The sequence below is a fragment of the Homo sapiens genome, chromosome 11 (assembly GCF_000001405.40).
Source record: "Homo sapiens chromosome 11, GRCh38.p14 Primary Assembly".
NCBI classification, from domain to species: domain Eukaryota; kingdom Metazoa; phylum Chordata; class Mammalia; order Primates; family Hominidae; genus Homo; species Homo sapiens.
Window position 1 is genome coordinate 94,457,237 of NC_000011.10, and position 16,374 is coordinate 94,473,610.

At 36.6% G+C, this 16,374-nt stretch overlaps 1 protein-coding gene and 1 non-coding gene across 38 annotated transcripts in view; both read right to left on the reverse strand.

The window, feature by feature from the left end:
• The window catches only part of MRE11 (MRE11 double strand break repair nuclease), a 96,843-nt gene that overhangs the window by 41,667 nt on the left and 38,802 nt on the right, over positions 1–16,374 (reverse strand). For 34 of the 37 annotated variants that reach the window (XR_007062484.1, XR_007062482.1, XR_007062483.1 and 31 more), the window contains 6 exons: positions 14,338–14,523; positions 13,235–13,406; positions 10,577–10,657; positions 6,877–7,003; positions 3,700–3,800; positions 2,172–2,345 (listed from right to left, as the gene is read on the reverse strand). Coding sequence is in view for 33 of the 37 variants with exons in the window: in XM_011542837.3 (XP_011541139.1) it covers positions 2,172–2,345; positions 3,700–3,800; positions 6,877–7,003; positions 10,577–10,657; positions 13,235–13,406; positions 14,338–14,523 (841 nt within the window). In the remaining 4 variants the exon portion in view is untranslated. The remainder of the gene's footprint in view (positions 1–2,171; positions 2,346–3,699; positions 3,801–6,876; positions 7,004–10,576; positions 10,658–13,234; positions 13,407–14,337; positions 14,524–16,374) is intronic. The other 3 variants (NM_001440478.1, NM_001440473.1, NM_001440477.1) reach the window with 1 other exon arrangement.
• On the reverse strand, positions 9,259–9,344 carry MIR548L (microRNA 548l). The gene has a single exon (NR_031630.1). It is a non-coding gene; the product is annotated as a microRNA 548l (primary transcript).

Consider the following 16,374-nt stretch of genomic DNA (forward strand, 5'->3'; position numbering starts at 1 on the left):
TGACAGTGGATTTAGCAATGGCAGTCACTGGTGATCTTGACAAGTGCAGCTTCACTAGAATGATGGGATCAGGAGCCTGAGTGGATAGATTTAATAGAAAATGGAGAGAGAAGAATGAGTCAGCAAATACAGAAAACTCTTTGAAGCGATTCTGCTCTAGAAGAGGAACAGAGAGCAGTAGCTAAAGGAAAATGGGATCGAGAGTTTTGTTTGTTTCTTAAGCTGAAAGAAATAACAGCATGTTTGTTATGATTCAGTAGAGGAAAAATACAAGAATAACAATATTTTAAAAGATGAGACAGTATGTAATCGTGCCCTAGGTGATAAGTAGCATACCAAAGGTGCTAAGCCATTCACAGAAGAGAAATGAGAGTCAGAGTGGGAACACTGAACAGGCACTATGTGTCAGACAGTATTCTAAGGATTTTACATGGATTAATTCTTCTAATCCTTACAACAACCTTGAAGGAGGGCCTATTATCATCACCATTTTATCCTCAGATGAGGATACTGAGGGATAGGTGGGTTTAGATAACTCAATGATGGGTACACAGCTAATAAGGGTTTTGATTTTGAACACGGGTGTCTGGTCAGAGCCACCATGACTCACACACACTCTTTCTCTTTCTCTCTCTCCCTCTCTCTCTCTCTCACACACACACACACACACACACACACCCCACACAGACTTTGCTGCTCAGGAGTCATGATGTCACTCCAGGTGGGGATGGTTATGTTTTATTTCTGGTATGTACCTGAGAAATCTATTTATGCTATAAATTAGCAAACCCAACACATCCAGAGTCATAGAGTGAATGGTTTTAGAGGGTGAACTGCCTGTCCTACCTCTGGAAGTACTTGGTATTAAATAATATTAGTTACACATTGACACCATAAGGCTTTAAGAGAACCATGTTAACCAAAAGCACTAAAATAAGGGAATGAGTTTTTTTTTTTTTTTTAAATAACATTGTTTTGTTCTTCTGCTTAGGGAGAATCTGGGAAATAGAGAAAGTGATCCCCTGTAATATAACTACCTTGACATAACTGTTGATAATATATCTGGGATATTTTCTTTATTTACATAAACATACACAATTACATATAAAATAAAAATAATTGAGATTATACTACGCAGTTTTTTATCTTTGAAATCTTTCCCAATTAACATTAGATTAGAAATATCTTCTCATGTTCTTCTTCCAAAATGTCATTTTTAAGCTGTGTAAAATTTTATATGGTATATGTACCAACATTTATTGTATCAAAACATTTCCAATTATTCCCCACTATGAACAACACTAAGATGAATCACTCCATACACAAATCTCTACCTCACTATTTTCATAGGGAAATTTCCCAGGCTGAGTTAAAGGGTAAATCTTAAGCCTCTTAATATACTCTGCCAAACTGCTTTTCAGTAAAGCTATTCAAACGTAATACTACTACCAGCAGTGTGCTAGATACTATTTTTCTCAAATTGCTGCCAATTTGACAAACAAAAGATGTATTTGAGTTTCTTTGATTATCCTAGGCTAAACACCATTTTCATATGCTTATTAGCTATTTATATTTCTTTTATGAACCACCTATTCATGTCCTTTGTTCATTATTCTATCAAATGTTTAATTATTTTTAAGATTTCTAAGAGCTCATTAATATTAAGAATATTAAACTTTTTTCTGCCCACATACAAATATTTTCATGTCAATATCTTTTAATTTTGTTTTTTGACAATGTGATATGCAAACATTTATAATTTCTATGTAGTCAAGTCTAGACAGCTTTTCCTGTAATTTTTCCACTGCTTCTTGCTTAGCAGAAATTTTCTAAATGAAATTCAAGATCTCAATCAAAACTTACTAAAAAAATTAAAATGAACAAAAATTACCATCCTACAAGGTTCACTTTAAAGCCCTTTCAAAGGATCTTTAAGAGAAGATACTATCCATGGGGAACAAAACACTTTAGTACCAACCATATGCAAGACTCTGTTCTAGGCATTTTCTACATTTTCTAATTTAACCTTCATTTTATCATTTCAATTTTATAGATGAGAAAAACTAAACAAATCAGAGAGGTTAAATAGTGATTTACCAGAAAAAAATCTCAGAGCTACTCTTAAAGACAGACTATTTAAATAGACCTAGACACTCAAATTAGTTACTTACCTCCTCATCGATTTTGTCTTCGAGGGCATCAATATGACGTTCTTTAAGAAATCGCTGTGTTTTTTCCAACTGGTATTTCACTAATTCCTCAATGGCATCTTTCTCCTCCTTGTCCACAAATTCTTGTACTGCTTCACCCATCCCTCTTTCTGTTAGCAGTGAGAGCTGCACATTCTGTAAGATACAAATCACTGGATGCAGAAATAGTTTTTATTCCTTACAAAATAATTATAGATGAGCAAGGAAAATTACCAAATATGTTACCAGAGAAAAAATATAGTGAACAGCTGTAGTTAAGCCTACTAATATCAGGAACCAGAAAAAGCAAAGTCAAAACCAGAAATGGGGGAGGAGTACAGGACACGTGAAATGTAGAGGCCTGATGGCTAGGATATGGAGTCCAAAAATGGCAGCTATGATTAATAGAGATGAAATTAACCAGTGTCATAGGCAAAATAAGAGCCCCCTAAAGATGTCCACGTCTTAAACTCTGGGACCTGTGAATACATGGCAAAGAGGAACAAAGGTTGCTAATCAGCTGTCTGTAAAATAGGGAGAGTATCAGAGACTATCCAGGTGGGCCCAGTGTAATCATAAGGGTCCTGAAAAGCACAAGAGGGAGGCAGATGGGAGCTGGAAGGAAAAATAACTCTGGGGAAATGGTTAGAGAGATACAACATTGCAGGATTTGAAGATAAAAGGAGAGCAAGAGCCAAGGAACATAGTAGGCACCTCTAGAAGCTGGAAAAGGTAAGAAAATGGATTCTCCCTTAGAGCCTCCAAAAAGGAAGACAGCCATGCCAAAACCTTGATTCCAGTCCTGTGTACGATTTCTGACCTACACGACTGTAAGATAATAAATTTGTGTTGTTTTAAACCACTAAGTTTGTGGAAATTTGTTTCAGCACCCATAGGAAACTAATACAACCGGAGGATCTTAGAGTGGCATATACTTATGACGTAAGTTTCAGTGGCTTCACCATCATTTGGCTGTCTTTGTTTGTAGAATAATTCTGAAATTACATCCAAATGTGAGAAAACTAAATCTGGATTGAGATCTTTGTAACAGAGATACAAATAAAGTAAGAAAATAACAACAACAATAACAGTTATGTTAATAATGGTATTCACAATTAACATTAATTAAACACTAATTTTCTTTGATGTGCAGCAACTACAAATGAATGTAAATGTCACCCTAGTTACTTCTAAGTTTCACTTAAGAATGTCCCTGATTTAAGTTAAAATTATTCAGTTTAATAATTGCAACAGAGATACAAAGAAAGAGAATAACAACATCAACAATAACAGCTATATTAATAACAGTACTAATAACTAACATTAATTAAACACTAATTTTCCCTGCTGTGCAGCAACTGCAAATGAATGTAATTAATTGTCACCCTACTTACTTCATAGAAACATTTTGAGGATTCATTTTGTTTAAACTATCAACTAAACATATCCTAAATTAAAATCTGTTACTATAAGGTAGCCATTATTCAAAATGTGAACTGTAAGAAATTACCTTCTCTGCGGTTTGAAAGTACTGTTTTACAAGATCTTCTACCCTTAAAGTTGTTCCTTCTGAAGGCTTTGTGATAAGTTTCCCAAAGTTGATCTCTTCTCCTAGAAAAAAAGAAGTATATCAAAAAATAGCTTCTATCATAATGTTAAAATGTGCATACTCATTGCAAGTTGTCAGTGGAGAAGGTAAGGCCAAACTTTAGCAACTGCCAGCTTGCTCAACATGGTAAATTTTGAGGCAAAACAAGCCATTTTTGTTAATAGCCACGGTCTTTTCCCCACAGTCAGTATTTCTCGTTCATACCTCCAGGATAGGTGTCTTGTAGCTGTTCTCACTGGGTGAAGCACAGACTTCTGGAGGTCCTCAAGACCCATTCAGGGAGTAATAACGTCAAAAATACTTTCATAATAATCCTAAGATGTTATTTGCCATTTTGCCATCTGCCATCATTGCTACACTGACGATGCAAAAGCAATCATGGGTACTGCTGGTGCCTTGTGACGTCAAGGTAGTTCGGTATTGATGGAACATATCTCAAAATAATAAGAGCTATTTATGACAAACCCACAACCAATATCATACTGAATGGACAAAAACTGGAAGCATTCCCTTTGAAAACTGGCACAAGACAGGGATGCCCTCTCTCATCACTCCTATTCAACACAGTGTTGGAAGTTCCGGCCAGGGCAATCAGGCAGGAGAAATAAAGGGTATTCAATTAGGAAAAGAGGAAGTCAAATTGTCCCTGTTTGCAGATGACATGATTGTATATTTAGAAAACCCCATCGTCTCAGCCCAAAATCTCCTTAAGCTGATAAGCAACTTCAGCAAAGTCTCAGGATACAAAATCAATGTGCAGACCAGGCGCGGTGGCTCACGCCTGTAATCCCAGCACTTTGAGAGGCCGAGGTGGGCGGATCACAAGGTCAGGAGATCGAGACCAACCTGGATAATACGGTGAAACCCCGTCTCTACTAAAAATACAAAAATTAGCAGGGGCGTGGTGACAGGTGCCTGTAGTCCCAGCGACTCGGGAGGCTGAGGCAGGAGAATGGCGTGAACCTGGGAGGCGGAGCTTACAGTGAGCTGAGATCACGCCACTGCACTCCAGCCTGGGTAACAGATCATGACTCTGTCTCAAAAAAATGAAAATAAAAACAAAATCAATGTGCAAAAATCACAGCATTCCTACACCAATAACAGACAAACAGAGAGCCAAATCATGAGTGAACTCCCATTCACAATTGCTTCAAAGAGAATAAAATACCTAGGAATCCAATTTACAAGGATATGAAGGTCCTCTTCAAGGAGAACTACAAACCACTGCTCAACGAAATAAAAGAGGACACAAACAAATGGCAGAACGTTCCATGCTCATGGATAGGAAGAATCAATATCGTGAAAATGGCCATACTGCCCAAGGTAATTTATAGATTCAATGCCATCCCCATCAAGCTACCAATGACTTTCTTCACAGAATTGGAAAAAACTACTTTAAAGTTCATATGGAACCAAAACAGAGCCCACATTGCCAAGACAATCCTAAGCAAAAAGATCAAAGCTCGAGGCATCACCCTACCTGACTTCAAACTGCACAACAAGGCTACAGTAACCAAAACAGCATGGTGCTGGTTCCAAAATAAGAGATATAGACCAACGGAACAGAACAGAGGCCTCAGAAATAACAATGCACATCTACAACCATCTGATCTTTGACAAACCTGACAAAAACAAGCAATGGGGAAAGGATTCCCTATTTAGTAAATGGTGCTGGGAAAACTGGCTAGCCATATGTAGAAAGCTGAAACTGGATCCCTTCCTTACACCTCACACAAAAATTAATTCAAGATGGATTAAAGACTTAAATGTTACACCTAAAACCACAAAAACCCTAGAAGAAAACCTAGGCAATACCATTCAGGACAGAGGCATGAGCAAGGACTTCATGACTAAAACACCAAAAGCAATGACAACAAAAGCCAAAATTGACAAATGGGATCTAAGTAAACTAAAGAGCTTCTGCAAAGCAAAAGAAACTACCATCAGAGTGGACAGGCAACCTACAGAATGGGAGAACATTTTTGCAATCTACCCTTCTGACAAAGGGCTAATATCCAGAATCTATAAAGAACTTAAACAAATTTATAAGAAAAAATCAAACAACCCCTTCAAAAAGTGGGTGAAGGATATGAACAGACACTTCTCAAAAGAAGACATTTATGCAGCCAACAGACACATGAAAAAATGCTCATCATCACTGCCCGTCAGAGAAATACAATTCAAAACCACAATGAAATACCATCTCATACCAGTTAGAATGGCGATCATTAAAAAGTCAGGAAACAACAGGTGCTGGAGAGGATGTGGAGAAATAGGAGCACTTTTACACTGTTGGTGGGACTGTACACTAGTTCAACCATTGTGGAAGACAGTGTGGTGATTCCTCAAGGACCTAGAACTAGAAATACCATTTGACCCAGCCATCCCATTACTGGGTATATACCCAAAGGATTATAAATCATGCTGCTATAAAGACACATGCACACATGTGTTTATTGTGGCACTATTCACAATAGCAAAGACTTGGAACCAACCCAAATTTCCATCAATGATAGACTGGATTAAGAAAATGTGGCACATATACACTATGGAATACTATGCAGCCATAAAAAATGATGAGTTCATGTCCTTTGTAGGGACATGGATGAAGGTGGAAACCATCATTCTGAGCAAACTACCGCAAGGACAGAAAACCGAACCCCGCATATTCTCACTCATAGGTGGGAATTGAACAATGAGAACACTTGGACACAGGGCAGGGAACATCACACACCGGGGCCTGTCATGGGGTTGGGGGAGGGGGGAGGGATAGCATTAAGAGCAATACCTAATGTAAATGACGAGTTAATGGGTGCAGCACACCAACATGGCACATGTATACATATGCAACAAACCTGCACGTTGTGCACATGTACCCTAGAACTTAAGGTATAATAATAATAAAAAAGATTGCTATCTAATTTTTAGAAGACAAGAGAATTATTCCCACTGTCAATTTGTTTAAGACATTACAATCATATTAAAACATCTTCCATTATTATGTTACAGTTTTTAATAAAGATTCCTTCACAAATCCTATAAGAACATTTTTTTACCTCATAAAAATAACTAGCTTACCTGTTTTTTCCTTTTGTTCTCTATGCCTGAAAAAATGGATAATGTCTTTTGGATTAGCTACCCGATCCACAAATTTCTGGCTAAAGCGAAGAACACTGAAAGGTTCAAAACCTCCACTATAGTCCACCTGAAAACACAGAATAATCTATGAACGCTAGGAAACAACAATTTGCCAATTTTTAAAACACACACTAATCCTTCAGTATTCACAGTGTTTATGCTTGATACTTTGAAATTTATGAATTAATTTTCTACAGTAGATCATGATGGAGCTATATCATTTATCCTACTGAGAAACTAATGTTTGAAAAGTTTATAAGCATAAGCAAAATACTTTGTTCGATGGAATCAAGGTATTGCAATAATTTCCACAATGCAGAATGATTACATCTCCCCCTGATAACACTAATAGTCTAGGTACCTACCAAGCAAACCATCTGAAAACAATTTTCTGAACTTTCAAAACAAACAAACAAACAAACACACACCAAAATAAAATACTAGCCTTAAATGCATTAGTAAATTGGTCTATCATCTTAGAGATGTGCCTCAAGAGAAAGATGAATGCTAGGAACATCCAGGTAATAAAGAATCAAATCTGTGAGCCTTGAGAAATGATTACCTCCAAAACATGGTATCTCACTGAAACTGAGAACTTCTCTCAAGGTAGACTCTTTCTACAGAAGTCTGTAGTGGTAAACAGACCTTTACAAAGACAAATACCACCTTTCTTTCTCAGAGATATGTTCTTCTCAACTAGCTGTTCCCAAAGTACGCTATGGGGACCAGCACTGCACCACCTCACAGCTTATCCAGAATGCTCCCTAACTAAAGTGCTCCCACTTTCACTCATCATCACTATCTGCTAAGGTTTTTTGTTCATTTATTTGATATTTGTGTATCATGTCTCTCTTTGCACCTCCACCTCCTGTAAGCTCGACGAATTCAAAACCTCATCTGTTTTATCATCCCTATATCCTGCAGCATCCATAATAGCAGGTACTCAGTAAGATTTAGTCAATGAATTAATGAATGTCTTTTAGTCAGTACAATGTAGTTTTGTAATATTACTTATATGACAATATGTGCTGTTTTATGAATGAATTCGTAATTTACTGTGCTTAGGAAAAGAAATGCCAATTTTCTATTAAAGTCTGGTTAGTTTTAATGCTGTGAGGCAGACACAGATGAGAAAATTGGGATCTTTTGCCATAATGAAGAGAACTATGTGATTCCCTTAAAGTAATTATTTTTGTATTACCCAGACCATCTCTCTCTCTCTCTTTTTTTTTTTTTTTTTTTTGAGATGGCGTCTCACTGTCACCCAGGCTGGAATGCAGAGGCACAATCTCAGCTCACTGCAACCTCTGCCTCCCGGGTTCAAGCGATTCTCACGCTTCAGCCTCCCAAGTAGTTGGGATTACAGGCATGCACCACCATACCTGGCTAATTTTTTTATTTTTAGTAGAGACAGGGTTTTGCCATGTTGCCCAGGCTGGTCTCGAACTCCTGACGTCAGATGATTCAGCCACTTCGGCCTCCCAAAGTGCTGGGATTACAGGCGTGAGCCACCATGCCCAGCCTTACCCAGATCATCTCTACAGCTACCATGTTATAAAAGACAAAATACTAAATGCTAAAGCTATTAGGTCTCTCCTTCAAACTTCTCATTTATAAATGTTTGGTCATAACAAATTTTATTGGATGTCCTCAATGTTCTAAGTATGCTGTTCAGGGCCAGGGATACAACCATAAATAAATACAATCTTGGCTGTCAAGAAATTCACAAACTGACTGGGAAGAAAAACATGTAAACAGATCACTGGAAGCAGACTGTGAGTGGTGCTATAAGAGGTATGTACAAAGTTGGATGAGGACACAAAGGAAGAAGCATGTTCTCTGTGGGCAGGTCAAGAAAGGCTTCTTTGAAGACAGAGGCTTTAGGTGGGTGCTGAAGAAGGTATAGAGAAAGGAGGAGAGAAGTATGTCCCACGCAACAGGATCAACATGGACAAAGGTTCCAGTGAAATAAACTCCACTGCACCCAGGGGACGGCAGCTTTTTTGGTTTAGACCACATCATGTAGACCCCTGAATGCTAACCTAAAAAAGTTTAGACTTTTTCCTGTTAGTGCTGGGGAATAATTAAGTTATTTTTAGCAGAAAAGACATGCAAAACTGTGTTTTACAAAGATCATTTTGGCATTAGTGTGGAGAGAGAAGGAAACTGGAGGCAGAGTCCTGGTAGGAGGCTGCAGCAATAGGCCAGGAAGTATTAATAAGGGCTTCACTATGCCAGCGACAGTGGGATAAAGAAACGGGAACAGATTACCTACTGTGCAACAGACACTATTTAATCCATTTAGATCTCATAAATCTACGAAGCATTTGGTTGGTGCACAAGTAACTGCAGTTTTTGCCATTACTTTCTACGACAAAACCCGCAAATACTTTTGCACCAACCTAATACAAACCAAGGGATAAGGGATGCGGTTGCTCAAGGTCATACAACTAGTGGTTGGGCCAGAATGAAGCTCAGGAAGTCTGGCTCTACACTGTACTCTTTACCTCCACAGTCTACATCCCAGTACTTCTCAAATTTTCATGAACATATACATTTCTTGGAGATTTTTGTTAAAATACAGTGGGTTCTGATGCAGGGTCTGAGGCTCTGCATTTTTAACAATTTCCCAGGCAACAACAACACTGCTGGTTTAAAGACTACACTCCTCAGTACCAGGCCTCAGGGGACTCCTGGAGATACAGAACAAGAAGGAGGTCTACGTAAAGATTTTGAAGTCATCACTCTATTGGTGGTCATTAAAGCTGTATGCCTACACTGAAAAGAGGGCTAACTATGAGACGGGACGGATACAAATAACTCAGAGAATGCCCAAGAGTAATTCAGCAAGATGAGACACGATCTATTGGATTGAACAATTAAAGGTCATCTTTTCCACTGGTTATGGTGAAGTCAGAGCCTTGGTTATAGTGAACTGAAGAAGAGAAAGTTAAGAGAGATATAGGTTATATACTTTTAGGGGCTTTTAAAGAGAGTAAGCAACATGGGGTAGGAGTTTGGAAAAGGGAAAAGCATAGTGGTAAAGAAGAAGTCTGTTGTTGTTTCTTTGTTTATAACACGATAGAAAGGATAAGCAGATTTATAGGCACAGGAAACAATCCTAATAATAACCAAAACAAATAAACCGTACATAGATTAGAAGGATGTGTTACGGGGAAAAAAATAAGAAGAAAAGAGGAAGCAGAAGAAGGTAAGTGAAATCAGGGCACTGGAGAGAAGGTAGGGGCTGCAATCTTGATGATAGGGCTGCAGTGAGGTGACACGGGAGCAGACTAAAGGGAGATAAGAGCACATCCCACATGCCCAAGAAACTGCGAGAAGGCCAAGATGCCTGGAATGAAGTGAGTAGAGGAGGTAGTTAAAGATGAAGCCAGAGAGCTCAGCCAATCTATTAAATATAACAACAAATTATTTAGAAAATGAGAAAAATAAGTTACCAAACCTATCACTTAAACTGTGATTAACTCAAATCCTTATATCTTTGTTTTTGCCTCCGATGGTGATTGCTCTTCTTATTACTATGAGCACTCTCCTCACTACTTTTCAAAGAAACCATGTAAACTGTACATTACTATGCTTTGAAAATTAATAATATTCAATCTATATAAATAGGACTTACTCGCAGTCGTACAAGAGGCTTCTCTGGCTGGTGAGAATTACCCAGACGTTCCCGTTCAGCATTTTCAAGCATTTCTTCAATCTCAAAATTTTTAAAAAGATTAAAAAACAACGTAGTAAACTGAGTTTAACTTGGCTGAATAGCAGCTTATTACCACAGGAATTTTCCTGAACTACATAATCATCTTTATTTCCTAGGTCATTTATGACACCTTTTCAAATATACCTTCTTGTAATGCTCCTTTAATACTATTCCTTAATGTTTTCCTTTCATGAAAGTTCTTCATAATTTTTCAATCTCTAAAATAATTCTTTTAGAATAAAACTTAAAATATTACTACTCATGTTTCAATAAGGCTTTCCTCAGCTTACCAACTTAAAACCAAGTAAGTCTAGTTTTTGCAGTCATATGATCCATGGGAGACTCACCAGAAGATTTAGGGATCAATAAGCAAGGACTTTAGATTATTTATCTTGGAAGAGTTCAAGGTAAAAGAAAATAAGACTGATGTTTTCAAATATGTGGAGTTGTCTCATACTCTGAGAGGATAAGATTATAACATCTTAGACTTGAAAGAGTTCTGAAGACAAAAGCACTTGTTCTATATTGTTCTTAAGGGTAAAACCAAGTTACAAGGAGACAGCACTAGATTATTTTCATAAATGGCTGTGTGCACAGTGATTAGATATCTCCAGATGGCCAACTTCATAGCTGAACAATTCTAGTTCTTAGAAAGTTCTTGTATTGGAACAAAAACTGCCTTCCTATAACTTGGTCCTGATCTCAAGAACAATACAGAACAAGTGTTTTTGTCCTCAGATTTCTTTCACATCTAAGACTTTATAATCTTGTCCTTTAAACTGTCTGTAACAATGAAGTCCAAAAGAGTTTTCTGCAATAATTTTTTCTATGTGCATATTCAATATGGTTGCCAAAACCATATGTGGATATAGAGTACTTGAAATGTGGCTAGTACAAGTGAGAAACTGAATTTTAAATTTAAATGTAAATAATTAAATGTAAACGCCACATGTGCTAGTGAATACATATCAGACAGCACAGAGAAAATCTATAAGAATATGATCTCCTAGGTCAATTATTTCAATCCAACAAGCATTTATAGAGCATCATTTTGCCAGGTACTAGGTCAAGTGCTGAGACAGAAAAGTAAGATATGGGTCCTGTCCTCAAAGAGTTCAGAAGACACTCACATGCTTATAAAAAATAATATAACTTAACTAAGTACAATAACAGAAATGTACATAAAATACAGAGATAACAGAAAGTTATGTGCACACCTGGTGTTTAAAATGAACCTCTATTACTTTGTGTCACCAGCGTCTACTTTCCTCTCTGGATTCATGTCACCAAAGCCCACAGGATTTAGGTGAAGTTCATACAGTAGACCTCAACCAGAGGTGACTTTGCTTCTCTAAGGACATTTGGCAAGGTCTGTAAACATTTTTGATCATCACGACCAGTTAGAAGGGGTACTACTGGCATCTAGTGGGTACAAACCAGGGAGAATACTGCTAAACATCCCAGAGTGCACAGAACTGCCTCCCACAACAAAGAATTATTAGTACAAAATGTCAACTAAGCCAAAGTTGAAAAACCCAGGTCTGACTCCAGGGAAGGGCACATGACTCAGGCCTGGATCAATCAATGCAAAAGCAATTAATGCATTTTCTATCTCTTTGGCTTGAGAGATTGGATTTAGGGATGCCAGAATCTTAATCTATGTTTGAGTTTCTAGAGTCAATCATCTTGAAACAAGCGTACACTTTTGGTTACGTGAGCTACACACTGCTCAAAAAGCTGTGACACTGAATGAGTCACCTTATCTAAGGTTCAGTTCCTCTAAACTATAGATGGTAGAAACTACTCACATATAGTATTGTTGGCTAGATTAAATGCTGTCAACAGTGCACATCACATACAGTAAATCAGTAAGTATCACTGGTCATAATTATTATCATTGTTACTATGTTACCTGATTTTTCATGAAAAGAAAACATAGTAGGACAGCTGACACAGAGTTAAGAACTGAGCGTCAGCAAGTGATGCTAATTAAGCTGTCAAACCACATATTATTAAATGCATTAATCCACCCAACCTTAGTAGTGGCTGAAATTTTCTAGAGATTTAGGGGTGGCAATGTGCATAGAGAGGGAGGTTTGGGACTTACATTGCAGCAATAGGGTGGATAGCAAACACATTTTTCACATTTCATTTGGGGTAGCTTTCAGGGTGAAAGGGACGCCTAATACAGATTATTAGAAGCTAAGGCTTTTCTCACACACGATAGTCTCCCATTCCTCAATCAAAGTTACTGCCTGCTTTCATAAATAAAATGAACAAATCATCAAATCAGGATTAAAAAGGAGAAAAGATTATGTATTATGTTTTTGAAAAGGAAGAAAGAAACTAGGAGAGAGATTTAATTTTTTTTAACATCCAGTATTCCTCTCTCTCAATGACTTAAAAAAAAAAATCTTGGACACAATTAAACACATTCACTGAAGAACAGTGTCCTTACAGGCTTCATGAGAATGTAATCAACATAAAGGCTTCCCTCTACTCTATTAAATTACTTAATTGAAGGTGAATAATTCTTCAACTAAAGTAGATCTCATTGACTTTATCAAAAAGAATTACCTTCTCCAAACAGAAGCTTTGTATGGCTTGGGTTACTTTAGGATTATCTGGGTTAAAAATGTCTGGATGATTAGCTAGAACAATATCCTCCATGAAAAACTGCCGCACTGTGTGAAGAGGAATTTTATGCATATTCATCTTCCTCCCTTTAATACGCAGCAAACCAACATGTCTGAAGTGGAGAGAAATGAACACCGAGTCACAGTGTAAATTTCCTCAGGGTGATGTGCAAACGAAAGCTTTCATATTTCTTAGTTTCTAAAAATGCTTCTTTATAAAATCATACTCTTAAAAATAAATGTTTCTGCTAATTTAACCTTAATGTTATCATCACAGGAAAAGATGGTAGACATTTTCCTTCCCCAGAGTAAAATCAACTCATCCATTATTATCCCTGTCTGATCAGTCTTGTAAGATAGACATAATAAGCATAAAAAAATGTTAACAGGACTATGATGGTAGCATATGTAGACTATAGTATTACATCTATATACCTATGTATATGTACATACATGTACACATATAGACAAAATGATTTTGCAGTGGACTCATGAAGAAAAAAAACCAACCAACATAGATTCTACTACCATATTCTTTAACCCTATTATCATTGTAACAATCAGAACTCAAGTGATTCAAAAGATAAAACCCATAATAAAAATTGAGTTTAATCACTGTTAACTACTTCTTACAATCATATCATTCCCCCAAAAATGTTTTAAAAATGAGATCTATTATACTGCACTTATAATCAGAAAATTTTCAATTAAATGGTTTTAGGATAATTTTTTATAATGAACTTTGTGAAATTAGTAATCATCAACCTAAAACATCTACCTTGAAATATAATAAAAATGTGCATCTTGAATTTGCCTAATGAGCAGCAAAATAACACCAATTGGATGCTCTCTTTTTGAAAATGGCTTAAAATCTGGAAAAACAATAAGACTACACAGAATGATCAATTTTCAAAAATAAAGCTATCATATAAATGACAATACTGCCAGTTAGCGGTAACCTTAACATAGGCCTTAAACCTATGAGATGATTAGTTATTATAGCAAAGATTTCTTAAAAATTGGCTCAAAATATATAACACTCACTTCTTTACAGCTTCTCCTGGGGAAAGAGAAGTAACCACTGAGCTTCCAGGTTGTGAGATATAAAACAGCTGTTGTTCATTTTTGGTTGGAGCTATTTTACACTCATGTTCATGGCCCCAGATAACAAGATCAATGAAGTCATCCAAAAATTGTTCTGGAATGAAGTTAGTACTTCCATGTTTACTCCTGTATCAAGATTTTGAAAAATATAAATTCGGTGATTAGAAAAATTTCATATTATTGAAGTCTATACAGATCTTTCTTTCTCCATTCACTAAAGATTTTATTGCATCCTTCTATGTACCAGAAAGTGTGCACAGGATTGGGAATGTAAAGATCATCAATGCTAACTCCTGACCTTGAGAGCTTTACAAACTTATTGGACACAGACAAGTGGAAACCCGAAAAGAGAAAGCAGTCAATTCTATATTTGGAGGAAGATCATGAAAGGTTTTACATAGGAAGGATTTCCCCTTTGGTCAATCAGAAAAGCATGAATTCTATCAATAGTAGAAATCTATAAATCAGTCTAACTATATACTAGAGAAAACACACAGAAAATGCAAGTAAGTATAAATATGTCCAGTAATTTCTTAACATTATCTTTTTACTAATAAATATAATGGGAGTAAAAACATCAATCTCACATAAGTGCTAAGAGTTTTCAATATCAAATATTAAATAAACAAGTGATATGCAAACTATGGTATTATACCTATATCAGTTATTATTTAAAGATACATGAAATGCAAGGTGATAGAAGACAAGAAGGAATAGTTTTCCCTAATATTAACTTACATCATTGGAGATTCAAGTAAAAGTGTTCACATAGTTTAACCAAGCATTCATTTAATCCAAACCAATATTCTTCCATTCACCCAACAAATACTGTTACCCAAACACTGTCTACTTTATGTCAGATGTCCCAGGCTTCTTCTAGATATGGAAGACACAGCAGTGAACAAAGTCCTTGTTCTAGTGTGGGAAACAAGCAATGCAGGTTGAGTCCCTAATCTGAAAATCCAAAATCCAAAATATTTTAAGTGCCAACATGGCACCACAAGTGGTAAATTCCACACATAAATACTTAACACAAACTTTGTTTCATGCACAAAATTATTTTAAAACATGTATAAAATTAACTTAAGGCCATGTGTATAAGGTATATATAAAATGTAAACAAATTTCATGTTTAGACTTGGGTTCCATCCCCAACATATGTGCAAATATTCCAAAATCCAAAAAATCCAAAATCTTAAACACTTCTGGTCCCAAGCATTTCAGATAAGGGATACTCAATCTCTAATACAAGATGTATATGCATGTGTGTAAGTATGCACATGTATAACTTGTCAGTTAGTGATAGGTGCTGTAAAGAAAAATAAAGGGAAAAGTGACATAGAAGTGCCATACTCCTCTCTACATACACAGGGTAGTCAGGAAGACCTCTCTGACTAGCATCAAATGAGCAGAGAACTGAGATGAAGCATCAGTACGCGGAGAGAGAAAGTCCTAAGCAGTAGAAGAGCAGATGGTGCTAAAGTGGGAATGTGTTCAGTGAATTCAAGGAACAGCAAGGAGAACAGAAGGGCTAAGCAGAATAAATGCAGGGAAGACAGAATATACAGGCTTGTGTATCCAGGAATGTTTTTATGTAAAAAACATACATCTAAGGTATGAGATTATCACAACTACTAAAGAAAAGCAGAATAATTCCCAAATACAACATGATGCCATTGTGCCTTCATTGAGTGCTGGTTCTTTCCCGGAAGAAGAAGGGAGGATGATGCTGGTAGGCTGACTGTAATTTGTGACCTAGAAGTGATCACAATATCCTTGTTGAAAGATTTTGCATGACCAAGTCATCTCCAAATTCAGATTCTTTCTTCTTTGAAACAAGAGAAAAAAACAGTTGATGTAGAGAAACAAATGGGAAATAAGGCAAAATGCAGAAGGCTCAAGATTCTCACCCAATCTGTGAAAACCTTCTTTGTTTTAAATATGAAAGCAGAAGTATCTTGAGAATGCACAGGGTGA